The sequence below is a fragment of the Homo sapiens genome, chromosome 5, assembly GCF_000001405.40.
Source record: "Homo sapiens chromosome 5, GRCh38.p14 Primary Assembly".
Lineage (NCBI taxonomy): Eukaryota > Metazoa > Chordata > Mammalia > Primates > Hominidae > Homo > Homo sapiens.
The window spans coordinates 176731638-176746447 of NC_000005.10; the positions used below are offsets into that span (position 1 = coordinate 176731638).

General features: G+C 54.8%; 1 long non-coding RNA gene across 1 annotated transcript, besides 4 other annotated features; it reads left to right on the forward strand.

Moving 5' to 3' along the window:
- Positions 722-1652: an enhancer, noted in NCBI's record as "H3K27ac-H3K4me1 hESC enhancer chr5:176159360-176160290 (GRCh37/hg19 assembly coordinates)". NCBI's record gives its function as "activates a minimal SCP1, AML or CMV promoter by ChIP-STARR-seq in naive H9 embryonic stem cells {active_cell/tissue: H9 hESC(naive)}" and the evidence as "EXISTENCE:reporter gene assay evidence [ECO:0000049][PMID:30033119]".
- Positions 1653-2582: an enhancer, noted in NCBI's record as "H3K27ac-H3K4me1 hESC enhancer chr5:176160291-176161220 (GRCh37/hg19 assembly coordinates)". NCBI's record gives its function as "activates a minimal SCP1, AML or CMV promoter by ChIP-STARR-seq in naive H9 embryonic stem cells {active_cell/tissue: H9 hESC(naive)}" and the evidence as "EXISTENCE:reporter gene assay evidence [ECO:0000049][PMID:30033119]".
- Positions 8907-9616: an enhancer, noted in NCBI's record as "H3K4me1 hESC enhancer chr5:176167545-176168254 (GRCh37/hg19 assembly coordinates)". NCBI's record gives its function as "activates a minimal SCP1, AML or CMV promoter by ChIP-STARR-seq in primed H9 embryonic stem cells {active_cell/tissue: H9 hESC(primed)}" and the evidence as "EXISTENCE:reporter gene assay evidence [ECO:0000049][PMID:30033119]".
- On the forward strand, positions 11568-12284 carry LINC01574 (long intergenic non-protein coding RNA 1574). Its single transcript, NR_108030.1, has 2 exons — positions 11568-11805; positions 11913-12284. It is a non-coding gene; the product is annotated as a long intergenic non-protein coding RNA 1574 (long non-coding RNA).
- Positions 12134-13102: an enhancer, noted in NCBI's record as "H3K27ac-H3K4me1 hESC enhancer chr5:176170772-176171740 (GRCh37/hg19 assembly coordinates)". NCBI's record gives its function as "activates a minimal SCP1, AML or CMV promoter by ChIP-STARR-seq in naive H9 embryonic stem cells {active_cell/tissue: H9 hESC(naive)}" and the evidence as "EXISTENCE:reporter gene assay evidence [ECO:0000049][PMID:30033119]".

Here is a 14810-nt window from a genome sequence, read left to right on the forward strand (position 1 = left end):
TCTCAGGATGTTGACAGGAGCGAGGGAGGTGTGTGGCCAGTCAGGTGGTTCCTAGTCTCCTGGGGCATCCCTGCCTGCACGGAGAAGGCTCATCCAGGGAAGGGGCCAGGATGGGCCTGAGACCCAGGTTCCCCGGGGCCAGTCAGTTACAGTCTGGCTGTATTCGTTTCCTGTGGCTGCTGTCACAAATTCCCACAAGTGTGGTGACTTTTTTTTTTTTCCATTTTTAAATATTGTGGTTAAAAAAAGCCCATGTAACATGAAATGTACCCTGCCAGCCATTTGTAAGTGTATAGTGTGCTGCTAAGTATCTTCATATTGTGCAACAGATCCCCAGAACCTTTCATCTTGCAGAGCTGAAACTCGGTATCTTGGTGACTTTTTAAACAACACAAATTTATTCTCTTACAGCTCTGGAAGCCAGAAGTCCAAAATCATTGTCACTGGGCTAAAGTCAAGGTGTTGGCAGGTTGGCTCCTGCTGGAGGTTGGAGGGAGGATCCATTTCCCGGACTTCTGTAGCTTCCGGAGCTGCCTGCATTCTTCGGCAGAATTCCACTTCCTTACATCACTCCAACCTCTTGCTTCTGTTGTCACAGCTCCCACTTCTGGTGTCAAATCTCCCCCTGCCTCCCGATTATAAGGACACTTGTGATTACATTTAGGGCCCACCCAGATAACCCAGGATAACCCTCCCTTCTCAATCGCATATGCGAAGTCCCCTTTGCCAGGAATTGGGACTTGCGTGTCTTTGGGGGCCGCTCTTCGCCTAACACCCTGGCTACGGTGGTCCGCTCTGGGCCCGAGGTGCCTTTGCTGGCAGCCAGGACAAGCAGGGTCCCAGAGGAAAATGCCAAGTGGGGGCCCATGGAGTAGCAGGACTTGGGGACAAGCCCGATTCTGTCCCCTGATCTGGCTCTCACCGTCTGGAAACATACAGGCGCCTTGCTCTGGTCCTTCCTCGTCCTCTGCAAGGCAGGCTCCTTCCTGCACCCCTCCACTTCCTCAGGTGACGGTATCCACCCCAGGACCATTCATGGAACTAACAAAGCACTGGACATACAGACAAAAACTGCTTCTTTCCTGAAGCTCCCATCCTAGTGAGGGAGAGTGAAGAAGCCGGGTACGTGATGTGGGAGGCAGTGAAGCGCGCTAAGGAGAGCAAGCGGGGACGGGGAGAGGAGGGCAGGGCAGGCCCGGGCTGTGAAGATTCAGCCCACACACATTTATCAAGCACCTACCAGGTTCCGGGGCCTGGGACACAGCTGAGAATGAGACAGACCCAGCCCCTATCCCAGAGGATCACCTGTTTTAGCGGGGGGATGAAGCCGATGAGGAAATGAATGGGGCACGTGCAGAAGGCAGTGAGGCTGGGAGGAACCACAGCGGTGCCCTGGGCTCAGGAGTGATGGAGCTGCTTCAGATGGGGCGGTCAAGGAGGACCTCTCGGAGGAGGTGATTGGGGACTGAGGGAGACGGCTCCAAGTGGAGGGGACAGCAACTGCAACGTGGGGGTGATGCAGCTCAATAGCCATGCGTGTCTGGGTGGCAGGAGCTCAGAAAAGCGTGTTGGCGGCAGTAAGGATGGAGGGGGATTGTCCTGGGATGGGGCTTCCCGTCCCACCTGCTGTGCCTGGGCTTTTAAGCCAGCAGTGAAGACACCTGAGACAGACCCAAGAGAAAGGCCTGCCCACACCTGGTGGCCACTCCAGACAGAATGAGGACAGGGCCCAGCACAGGTGGAATGGCCCAGGCCGGAGGAGCCCCTCTCAAGGAGGAGCCTGCCTTGTCCCCCACTCCTGCGCGGAGCCCTGTTCCCTCACGCGGGCTGGCTTCTTTAACGAGACCATCTGTCTGGCTTTCCTCACTCGGCTGAGCCTGCTGGTGCCATCCATCTCCCCCAGCCCCATCTCCCGTCCGTCTGTCACCGCTCGGCCCCCACCATCCCTGCCCAGCTCTGAGGGGGCCTCAGCAGGTCTGGCCTTCGTGTTTACTCTTCTCATCTGGCCACATCTGGCCCCCGTGCTGAGTCACCCTCTCCATCTGCCTGTCCTCCCTGTTGGACGGTGGCCGTCTCCTTCCTGGCTCTTTCGGAGCCACGTGGCAGCCCACGCGTGGAGCGGGTGCCAGAGCCGGCACACGCGTGGGGATGTGACTGTGAGCGGCTTGGTGCCAGCCTGCATCCCAGGAGGGGCCCCTCAAGGACAGCCCCACTGGAGGCCTCCCCCGCGGCCTTGGAGGGTCCGGTGGTCCACTGGACGAGTCTCAAAGAAACCAAAGAGACTCAGAGAGACAAAGGCCACAGCCAGGCTGAGGCAGAAACGGAGATGCCTGGTATCAAGGCTGGGTATGAACCCAGCTCTGCTGGATGCCAGAGCCTTTCAATTCTGCATCTGAGCGTGGAAGTAGGAAGAGTGTGGGCATTTCAGAAGGGTGTGGGGGCGGGAGGCAGCCTGGGAGCAAACAAGAGTCACAAGCCCGGGGTCCGAGGCCCTGCAGGGCTGGACCCAGAGCTCTGAATCTGGGTAGGTTACTTAGCCTTTCCCAGCCTGACTTCCTGCACATATTTTGAAAATTAAACCAGTTGCACTGAGGTAGTACAATACCATCACCTACCCCTCAGGCCAGCCTGGAATAGCACCCCTTCCTCTGACAACAGCATCCCAAATTTTCCTTAAGCCCCTTCTCAATCCCTGAGATTTGGGAAGGGCTGACAGGAGAAGACATGTGACCAAAGATGAGACAATCCAAGCACTGCAAACTCAGCCCCACCCCCACTTCAGTGCTTGGCTTGGGGTCAGGTGGGTGCCAAGCTGGGCTAGTCAGGGCCAGAACCTTTGCTGAACTTAGCTCCCCTCCCCTCCCCTCCCCTCCCCTCCCCTCCATTGCCCGCCACCCCACTCCCTTTTCCTTTCTTTCTTTCTTTCTTTCTTTCTTTTTTTTTTTTTTTTGAGACGGAGTCCAGCTCTGTCGCCCAGGCTGGAGTGCAGTGGCGTGTTCCCAACTCACTGCAACCTCCACCTCCCAGGTTCAAATAATTCCCCTGCCTCAGCCTCCCAAGTAGCTGGGATTACAGGCGCCCGCCTCCACGCCCAGCTAATTTTGGTATTTTTAGTGGGGATGGGCCACTGTGATGGCCAAGCTGGTCTCAAACTCCCGACCTCGTGATCCTCCCACCTCGGCCTCCCAAAGTGGTGGGATTACGAGCGTGAGCCGCCACACCCAGCCCCTTTTTTAAATTTTTTTTGAGACAGGGTCTCACTCTGTTGCACAGGCTGGAGTGCAGTGGTGCAACCACAGTTCCCTGCAGCCTCAAACTCCTGGGCTCAAGTGATCCTCCTGCCTCAGCCTCCCAAAGTGCGGGGATTACAGGCATACTCTGCCACGCCCAGCGTGCTGGAACTTTTCTAAGGAAGGGGTGCTCCTTGCTCACTGTGAGAGTGAGCAGGCTATGAGCTAGAGCTACTGGTGGCTGCCATGTGGTGAGAGCCCGCCTGTGAGGAAAACCAGCAGAGAGGAGAGCAGAGCCAAAGCACGGAGAATAAGAGCAGTCCTAACAAGCCCCTGGATCCAGCTGGGCCTGAAGCCAGCTCCACTTCTGGACTTTTCAGTAATCGATGCCAATACATTGCCTTTTATAACAGAGCCTGAGTTGGGTTCTGTCATTTGCAATCAAGGAGTTGTATGTGCTGTATTCCTGAAAGGGACAAATATGTGCCTGATACACAGTAGGCTCTCAATACATGCTGAAGATAAGGATAAGACCTTTGTGAGAACAGCCAGTCTCAAAACATATTCTATGATTTCCTGGGCATAACACTCCACACACGGCAGAATTATAGAGATGGCAAGCAGGCTGGTGGCTGCTGGGAGCTAGGGCTGGTGGAGGGTGGAGGTGGGTGTGACATCTTCACGGGGATGGAACAGGTCTAGATCTTGAGTGCTGTGGTGGCTTCATGATCTCCACATGTGACAAAATGACGTAGAGCCGTATGCATACCCTGTGCCAATGTGGGTTTCCTGGTCTGGTATTGTACTAGAGTTATGTAAGATAGAACCACTGGGAGAAACCCAGTGCAGGGTACACGGCACCTCTCTGTACTATTTTTGCAAGTTCCTGTGAATCTGTAATAATTTCAAAACAAAAAGTTACAAAGAAGAAGTTCTTTGTAGGCGTACCACCCAGCAGCTCTTGGACCCCAAAAGGCAAATCATGGGCATTGAAATCAGATGGACCAGAGCTCAAATCTCAGCATGGCTGTTCACCTGCTAAGTGGCCTTGGGTCAGTCACGTCTCTTCTCCTACCCTCAGCGTTCTCATCCGTGGAGTGGGGCTCACTGGGGCTTATGGGCCCGCCCCATGGGGTGGTGATGACAGAGGATACAGTCAAGACCGTGCTCTGTCTCGCTCAGGACCTGGCTGTGGGAGGCGATAAGCTTCAGCAGCAGGCCATCAATACAGGGCTTGGCAGGGGGCCTTGCGCGGACCTGGCAAGGTCTTGGGTTCTGAGCCAGCTTCCCTGGGCTTGAGTCCTGGCTCTGCTGCTCCCTGCCTGGGTGACCTAGGGTAGACTACTTGACCTCTCCGGCCCTCAGTGTTTCCATCTGTACAATGGAGATAATCATAGTGCTGATCATGTATGTGACTTTTGAGGATTATTTTTTGTAGAGACAGGTTCTCCCTAGGTTGCCCTATGTGGCTGATCTTGAACTCCTGGCCTCAGGCGAGCCTCCCACCTCGGCCTCCCCAAGCTCTGGGATTCCGGGTGTGAGCCACGTAGCCTGGTCTGCTTTTGAGGATTAAATGAGATAGTGCACCTGAGGCCCCTAGGGCAGAACCTGACACTTGGCAGGGACAGTAGCCCTTTGGGGTGTGGAGAATGGCCCCATGGGTGGGGGTGGGAGGACCCTGGCCATGCAGTGAGGTCTGTTGCAGCATTGCCAGGAAAGCTCTCACTTCCTGGGGATCAGCACCCCCAGGAGCTTCCCCTTCAAGGTCCCGCAGCCAGTGATGAATTCCACTCCGGCCAAGCAGAAAATCTGATCCCAGGCACCTAAGGAGGCAGAGGGACCCCTGTCCAGAGAACCCAGGCTCCCGCCTTCCTTCTCCTGTCCTCCCTGAGGAGGGAGAGCACAAACCTGAAGTGGAATATGCACGGATTGGACTTCGAGGTACAGCCTCTGAGAAGAAAGGAAAGGACTTAGTGTTTGTGGTCAGTGAAAGAAATTCTGGGGACAGTGGGGGCTCAGTGGTTGCTTGAGGGAGGCTGGAGATGTTCCTCTGTCTCCAAACGTGTATTTCATGATCTGTCATGGTTTTAGGATCCCTAGAATTCCATTATTGCTGAGCTCATCCCTAGGTTAAACACTGCCCACTCCTGCATTCTGTTCTTTTCAAACTAGAGGAGTAACATATTAAGCCATGAATGTGTGAACTAATTTATGACAGGGTCTGGGGTGAGGCATGCTCAAAGCAGACCGAGGAAGGGCAGGAGAGGCCCAGGAAGGGGTAGGGGGAGGGTTGGGAGGTAGGGAATGATGCCTAAGGCAAACTTTGCCTGCTCTGGCTGGCTCTTGGTGATAATCTATTTAAAGGCCTCCCCTGGCTGTTCTCGTTGATGTAGATCCATTTGAGCAGTTTCAGGGCTGCAGTCTTTATTTAATGCAGCTCCGAGCCTGATGCACAGGGCCCAGAGCTGAGCGGAGGCTGGCTCCTGGCAATGCTTAATAGCAAGGTGAGAACACGGAGCTCCTGAGTAGGGGAGGGGCGATGTCAGGCAGCAAGGGCTAGGCCGGCTGTGCTCCACAACCTGCTCCTTGCTGCTGCTGGGAGGATGGAGCAGGCTGGAGGTGGAAATTCCCATCCCGGAGTCAGCACTTAGGAGAAGGGAATCTCAATGTCAAATGAGCTGGTGATTTGGTGGGATGGGAGAGGCTTTGTTGAATAGTGGCTGAGGATAAGCCAGCATGGCTTCGGCAAACAAGAAATATGTTAGCTCATGGAGCCGTCCAGCTTCAGGTACGGCTGAATCCAGGACTCCCTGTGAGAACATCTAACAGTTCCTGAGACCACATGCTTCCTGTGGAACACACTGGGGGAGCATGTCTGGGGCCAGGCATTCCCTGCAAAAGTCCCAAGGTCCTTTCTGATTGGTCTGGCTTGGGTCACATGCCCCTTCCCTAAACCAAACACTGTGGCCAGGAGGATGGGATACGCTGATTGTCTTGGCCCACTCCAAAGGACCAAGTGAAGTGGGGAGGGGGGTCAGTTCCATCCAAGCCTCACAGAGGACAGGAGGCCCCGGAGCAGGACCGGCCTAGGAAGCAAGCAGATGCTGGCTCACGGCAACGCCGAGCCTGTGTCCACACACCTCGTCCAATGTACCCCTCTCAGCTGCCTCTGCAGATACTTCTTCAGATGAGAGCACTGAGGTAGAGGGACTTGCCCAGCACCCAGAGGGGGAGTCCAGCTAAAACAGAATCCAGATAAAAGACTCTATTTTATTCTAAGTTCTTTCCAGCGCCTCCTGGTCCAGCTGGCGCCGATCCCCTGTCCCACGTTCCCTGCCCCTGATATTCCAGAGTACTTGGACTCCTAGGTTTGGGACCTGAAAAGGATCTTAGAGTTTGTTGTCTCCAGTCTCTTCGAGTAATGCACCCAGGGCCACACAGCCCACGAATAGCAGAACGGGGACTAGAATCCACATCTAATAGGACAGCTTGTCACTTACCTTGTGTCTGCCTCACTGCTTGGGAGTCTGGTCTTAACGGTGTGGCCCTGGTCTCCATCTGCTTGCCAGCCTTAGTTTCCCACCTCCCCATGGTGAGGGTGTGAGGGTATCCCCGAGGGCCCCCTAGAGCTCCCCAGGCTCAGCCCCTGAATGATGGTCTGCGCTTTCCTGGGTCTCCACGCCGCCGCGGTTTGCATGTCTTACTCCTCCTTGACATCATTTTCTTTCTAGATAATTGCTTTGTTCTAATTCTTTAGAGGCAATTTTCTTCTGTTACTTTATTTCTACAGTTAACACCCTCCAATTAATTTCATAGCTCTTGAAAGTTCTCACATAAGTTGCCCTCACAAACCCTTCCAGTTTAACCGTCGCGTGCAACAGCAGCATCTCCGACAACACAGTCATCTATTCACGCCTACTGCATCCGAGCACACCAGCTGCATTTGATCTTCATAATAACCTTAGGAGAGTAGCCTCCTTTTACAGAGAGGGAAAATTCAGACTCAAAGAGGTAAAGCAGTCTGCTCCAGGACTGTAGTACAGGCGGAGCTGGGATTTGAACCTCCACCTCCAGCTGCTGGCCTGAATCAACAGCAGCTCCAGATCAGGGGGAGGGCATGGTGGCTGTCAGCTTCCAGGTGCACATCTGTCCTACTGGGGTGGCCCCAGAGTGAACTTGGTGGCCCTGCTGGCTCTACCCCTGGCGATTCCCTGCAACCTGCCCCTGGATCCTATACAGAGAAGCTTCCCTGGCAGGCAGGAGGAAATGAAATCCAGGCGAAACACAGGGTCTCAGCCTCCGTGCATGGATAGGGAAAAGTCAGTAGTGGTTACAGCATCTCTAGAGGAGAGGAGGAAAAAAAAACCTAACACCAACTACATTTGCAGAGAAATAATAAATGATTTCAAATTCTATTTTCCTATCTCTCTCAGTACATCTCCCAGTGCTATTTTATCTAGTAAATAGGAGGCCTAGTTGTTATTCTCAATTATGATATTAATTCTCCCGGTGACCCTGGGCAACTTACCTCCCTTCTCTGAGCTGGTTTCTCTATCTATCACCACCCGCTCAAGGACAAAAAGATGTTCTCACAGGAAGGAAGCTCCCTGTGTCTGGAACAGGCCTGGGCCCTCATTTACCCAGCAGGTGCTGCTGGTGTGGGCGGGGGTGGCCTGCAAGGCGCGGACGGACCGCAGTCCCCGGTGCCTGCTCTCAACCTCTCTCTCCTTTTTCCTAACCACAGACCTGACCCTCCTGACCGTGTTCGCGCTTGTTAGTTCGCACAGATCCTTCTGCCAACCTCCCTGTCCTGTTAGATTCTGGAATTTTCCCCTGCCCCTTCCTCCCAGAGTTGGGGGAAGGGTAGCAGCAAACCCCAGCTGGGCGACAACTTCCGCCGCCACGTGCTTGGTTCGATACTGTTTTCCTGGTTTTCCAGCCATCTCCCTCCTCTGGAGGGGAGGTTGCCACGGGCGATCGGCCCAGCCTGTGTTTACCTCGGCACTCTGCGCCTCCTCTCCTGCATCCCGCAGGGGCTCCCCAGCCATCTGGAATGGGGCCCACAGCTCCCCTCTCCCCCACATGCCAGCCGAGAAGGCCAGTTTGAGCACCGCGTGGGAGGCCCGAGCTTCCCGCCAACATGGCAACTGAATTTGGAAAACAGCTCATCACCAATGAAGAAAAAAACAAAAAACAAAAAACAAATAATGAACTGCAGAGACCCCAGGCTGGGGTTCGGCAAACACCGATGGAAACAAGTCCCCTATGAAAAAGTCTAATGATTTTTGCTCTTGTTCAGAACTGAAGACTAATTCTAAAATATTGGTTGTCAGGAAAGAAAGGTTCTGGGTGGGGCCGCAAGCTAGTTCCAGCCCGCAGGAGACCCAGGGCTTTGCAGCCCGGGAGACTCTGAGCGCTCACACGTACAAAGCGTAGCCGGAGGACCCTGGATAGACAGTGCTGCGAGGCAGGCAGGATGCATGGACCTTGGTTGCTGCTTTTAATGGAGAAGGAAGCTCAGGCTCAGGGACATGATCATTTCTCGGCTGATCTGGGTCCTCATCTGTGATAGTCTGAGGGCCCCATCGTAGCTTAGGGAGGACTTCAGGTCATATTTGTACCAAATCCTCTCCTGAACCCTAGGGCGACAGTTAAAATATTTAACAACCCAAGGTGCCAGGGCGCCGAGCCAGCGGGGCTGTGGCCAGACCAGCCACTGGATAGGGCAGGTCCTGGAGGCCCTGGAGGCTGGGGGTAGGGGCGGAGTGGCCAGGACAGAGGAGCAGAGGCCTCTGGGGCCAGAGGCGGCAGCTACTCACTACCTGGGATGGAAGCGATTGAATATTTTAGCAGCTGGCTTGACCCGCCAAGTGCCCCGGGTGGCTGTCAGCGCTGCTCCACCCAGCACCTGGCTATGACCCAGCACGCATCTTCCATAGCAGCGAAGTCAAACCTGCCTCGCTGTGTGGCTTCTGGGCCTCATTTCCACAGGCCTGGGGGGCCCCGGGGAAGGCGGGATGAGAGGCTCTGCGGTCATCTTCCGGTGCCCTGTGCAGTAAGAGGACCCTTGTCCAGTGCTTGGCCTAGAGCCTGGCATGAGGCTACTGCTCAAGAGGGCTCACTGCACTTAAAATTTCCAAACCTGCGCTTCTGCCTGCCCCTGCCCCTCTCGAGTGAGAAACATGACCATCAGGTAAACAGGCAAGCATCTGCACATCCAGGGAGAGCACAGCGGCTGTGGCCACCACTGCCCCCCAGCCCACGCCTCATTTCAGGAGCAGTCTTGCAGCCAGCTGATGAAGCCCCGCACACAGGACAGAGTCCTTTCTTGGGACTACGTCTTGTGTGAGAAGGCAAAGATGCCTTCACAACCTGGCTCATTCACCTGCTGAGCCCCCACCCCCCGCAGCTAGGATCTGGGGTCCTGGCCAGACCTCACACCCACCTAGGATGAGACAGGGTGTGGCAAAAGAAGGGACCCAGGCTTTTTGAAGGAAGCCCTTCCGTAGCAGAACCCTGAGCGGCATTGGGGTATCCTGAGGAGCCGCCTGCAAGAAGCATTCTCCTTTGAACTCGAGTCGTCTCCACCTGCGCTTTTCAGAGCCAGCCCTGTTCCTCTGCAGGAGGCTTGCTCCTCACCCCGTCGTGGGTCACTGCTGATGGGGACTGCATCGACTTCTGAGTGGTCCCAGCCAGGCACAGGGAAAACAGGGAAGAACTTGACCAGATGTCTTTTCTTCCTCCCATCCACCAGGAAGCTCTGCAGAGGACTTTCAAATTCCATGGGCTGACAGCAGCCAGGCCTCCCAGCATGGATGAGCCCCGGGGCCTCACAGAAGACTGGGAGGGAAGTGGGCTGGAGATCGGGGGCAGAGGAGGGAATGGTGATCTTGGAGGGAACATTACAGAGGTGGCTTCTCTGGTCTCTGGCCAGGACAACCACCTCCTCTCCCGGCTGCAACCAAAGAGTGGGTGGCCCTGCAGCACAGCACCTGCATCAGAGGCACCTAGGCATATGCTTGTTAAACATACAGACTCCAGGCGCCGCATCTGTCCTGCCAAGCGAGCATCGCTGGGGCAGGGCCATGAAAATGACCTTTCGAAAAATGACTGCAGTGATCGATGCTCTTGCTTCGAAACATTTGAGAACAACTCCCTTAGACTGAGATGTAATGCTTCTTGGGCTGGAATTCCCCTTCACTTCCTCCTCCCCTACCCCAGACTGTCTGGGCTTGAGTCCCATTCTGCCACTTAAAGCTGTGGGAGTTTGAGTGTTTCCCATCCGTGCCTCAGCTGCCTCATCTGTGAAATGGGAGAGAAGTAGAACCCACCTCCCCTTTGAGCCCTGCTTCCAAGGGGGCAGAAGGCACCTTGCCTTATGCCTCCCTGAGAGCAGCTCTGATAGAAGCTGTTACAGAAGGGAACCTGTCCCTGCCTCACCCTGGTGCATGGGGTCATCAGGCACCAGGTGGTGGCATTGGTTGGGGTGAGAAAGGCTCTGCACCCCTAACACAAGGGCTCTAGACCTGGCTTCACCCCGTCACACCTGTATGATCCATTCTCAGTGCTGGGACACAGCTCTTCCAGACAAGCAAGGCCCCTGTTTTCAAGGTGTCAGGACGCAGACAACAAACTCACAAACAAACCAATGAAACAAACAGTGATAACTGTTGCGAAGGCAATTGAAAGACCCCAATGCCAAGTTACTGGCATGGTGCAAATAGTGGCAGAGTGTCCTGGGCAGAGAGAACAGCAAGTGCAAAGGTCCTGGGGCAGGAATGGATGCAGAGTGCTAAGGGGACAGAAAGAAGGCTGCTGTGCTGGAGCATCCCCAGGGAGGAGCAGTGGGGGTGAGGGAGGGGGTGAGTTCAGAGAGGCAGCCTGGCAGATCTTGCAGGGCCTATGGAGCTTATTCTGTTTGATGGGCAGCTTCTCCCAGCTGGGAGAATTAAATGGAGTAAATGAAGCACAGTGCTAGTACCAGGGTTAGTGCTAGGTGACTGCTCTCTGTGTCCTCACACCATGACAGACGCACCATGGCTGAGACATTAGGGTTACATGGTGACTTGGAGCCTCAGGTCCTGTAAGGAACTGTCTGGATGCAACTTCAGATCGTTGGGTGTGATCCATTCAAAGACGTCAGGAGGTGTTTATTCAGATCACTGGCTTCTACCTGCACCGTCCCCCCACCCCGCCCCCAACCCCACCATCCCCCAACACTGGGCCACGGTAAAGCGGTTCATCTGTTTCCTCAAACCTGAAACACAGCCGGGCTTTTCAGGGCTCTAAGGCCCCCGAATGTGGTGGGTGCCCCGGAGAAGGACAGGGCAGGGACGTGTGGGGATCTGGCCCTCTCCCGCTTGCAGGTGTGGCTGGCGTACGCGTTGGGAGCGCCTGCTTGCCCCTCCTCCGGGGGGGAAGGACTGGCCGTCGTCCCTGCCCCGGGGGTGCGGGTGCGCCGAGCCCTCGGGAGGCCTGGCTCTGGTGTGGGCTGCGGGGAGAAGGCGCGGGAAGGAAGGAAGGAGGCGAAGCGGTGCGGGAGGGAGGCGGCCGTTGCCATGGAAGGAGCTGCAAGGTACTCTGGGACCAGAATTCTCTCTGCAGAGGGTCGGGTGGGGGGCGGCCGGCTGGGGAAGGTGAGGGGAAATCCAGTGCCATTCCTTTGTCCTTGGCGCTTCTCAGCCTCCCTGCAGACCGCGAGCGGAGCCCCCGCACCCCCGGGGCTGGCCCCTGGCCTCCCGCCCCAGCCCGGCCGGCGGCCCCTCCCTGCTCCGCTGTCCGCCTTGGGTACAGAAGCGGCGAGTGGCCCCTTTCCAGGAGGCCTGTTTACCAGCACGACAACGGCAAATTAGTGCGCTTAAGAGGCATTCGGCGTTTATCCCGGCAAACATGCGCAGCGTGAAGGGGGCCTGCGAGGCCTGCTCCCCGGAATCTGCTGAAATGGGGTCTGCTGTGCATCTTAATCGACTTACTTCCACCCATCACATTAAACGCATTTAATCTACTCTTGCAAATGGCTAATTTTGAAAATCCGCTTATCAGAATTAGGTCCTCAACATCCATATTTATTTACTTTCCATTTTCATAATCTTTTTTTTTTTTTTTTCCCCTTGTGTGGGACTGAATTCCATTTACTATTGTCTGGCTCGCTCTCGCCCGTCCCGGGGGGCCGGGGCAGGGGACAAGGGCCAGGTTAGGAGCAAACTGGAAATGGAAACCTGGCAGGGATGAAAGGCATGGGCTCGGGATTTGAGGACTGGGAGGCTCTTCCCGGGTGGCAGCATCTTCAGGAAATCACCAAGAGCTGAGGCTTGAGCAGAGCAGGTTTAAAAAGGCGATGAGGAAGTCTTGCTGAATCGCAGGCGCCCGGGGCCTGCCTGGCAGGAATCAGCAGCCGTGTCAGAAATGTGCAAGAAAGTGGTTGGGATCAACTGTCTTCCCCAGCGCCCCCGGTGCCAGGCTCCGTGCTAAGCGCTTCACGTGGACCAGCACTCATGCTCACGCCAGCCCTGCTCAGTGAATGCCAGGCGCGTCTCGCAGACAAGAAGACTCCTGCTGTGGCTTAGACCCACATTTACATCCAGACTGCACGTCCTCCTCTGCAGCATGTTGTCAGGTGTGCAAGGCACGTTTTTCCTATGAGTGTGTAAGAAACACAAGTTTGTGTGTGCAGGACTCAGGCCTGTGAGAAACGCAGACTCAAGGGAGAGATGGGTGTTCAGAATCTGGAAGATGGCTCTCCAGGTCACAACCTGTGCAGCCTCAAGCGTGGATTCCGCATGTGGCTTTCCTCACCACGTTTGGGCTCTGCAAGTTTGCTAAGAGTCGCTACAGAGCTAGGAAGAGCCGCCAGGCCTCTTGGCCTCTAAAGGACTTAGCACTCAATGTTAATTTTGTTGTTGCCAGTCCCCTAATGAGCTGATTTGGCACACATCTAGAGCAAAAACCTGAATTTCACTTCGTTTAATTTACTTTCAACATTGGCTGGGCACCTCCTATTGGCCAAGTGATGTTCTGCAGAATACCTGGGTGGAAGGATAAATCCGATCTGTTTCGAGCCTTGGGAAGCTCACATTTACTGGATTTTACAAGAAAGGCTCAGAACAACAAAGTGTTAACAGATGCATACCAGACAATTTTATTCTCCCAAAGAACTGCTAAGTTATGTTGTAGCCATCTTAGATTTCCAGATCTAATGGGAATTCTAAAGCATAAGGCATTAATTACATCTTGGTGGTTGAGATTAGGGCTGAATTGTCTGCAGACTTGAACTCAAACCTGCAGTTCTGCCGCCTTCACTGTATGACCTTGGGCACATTGGACCCTCAATATCCTCATCTGTGTAATGGGGGTTATATAAATATCTACCCATAGGGCTCCGAAGATCTAAATTAATGCTGTAGGTGGAGCTTTTAGTGAGGTATCTGACAAAGGCCTACACCTAACAACCAAATAGTAAGCATTATGATACATAATCATTTACTGAATCAAACTCAGCAAATAGAATTCAAAGACAGAAATAAACATTGATCAAGTGTTTTTCATTGTTCCGAGTATGTTGGTGAGCCACCTGGAAAGCTAACGAAGCAGTCAGTGGGTCTTCAGGCCCTGCTGCCAGGTGCTGGCTGAATGGCAAGGTGGAACAATGATTTACTGGGACCCTTCCCTCGTTTCTCTGGCCCCCACCTTTTCCCCTTTCAACTTCCTGCCTCTCTCTAGAATTATACAATATGCCAAAGTAAATTCCCTCAGACTTGCAAATAGCCTATACTTAATCCCCCCCACCCCGCCCACCTGAGGATAAAAACTCCTTGCAGAAGGCAAAATTTCCTCCCATCCCGTGTTAGGGATGTGTGGGCGCATGTCTGCAGGAAGGGGAAGCCGTGGGAGTGTGTGTGTGTGTGTGTGTGTGTGTGTGTGTGTGTGTGTGTCGATGCAGGAAGGAAGCGGGCGGGTGTGTGCGCAGGGAGACACCTGTGGGTGTGAGCGTGGGGATTTGTGAATGAACGAGCCTGTGTGTGTGCGCGGGGACTGGGTGTGTGGAAGGGGCGGTGGCCCAGAGAAAACCCAGCTCCTCCAGCACTCACTCTGGATCAGGACCCCTTCCATCTGAGGGAGCCGAGTAACGTGGGTGGAGTGAGCCATTGGGACGGCTCACACTCTCTAAGGCGAGGTCAGAGAGAGAGACTGCAGGACCAAGGGCCCAGATGGGCAAGAGAGTGGAAGGTCAGCCACCAGGCCATGTGGGGTGTTCTGGGTGGATTTGAGTGTGTGTTTCCCAGGTGGTGGATGTGGACTGGCTTTGGAGATGGGCAAGCTGGTAGGTGAGGGGGCAGAGCTGAGTGGATACCAGAGAGGATGACCCACTCAGGGGATTCTGCCAGCCGTGTCTGGGGCTGCAGGCACAGTGGTTCCAACAGAGCAGCGGGAGTGGACAGCGGTCACAGAGGGAAGGGAAAACAGTCCCAGAGAGAGGGTGGACTCTGTTCTCAGACTGAGGAGGCCGGGAAGGGAAAGGCGGGGGCGGGGCGAGGGTCTGCAGCAACAGAGCCGGCAGGAATACCAGGTCATCACGGTATT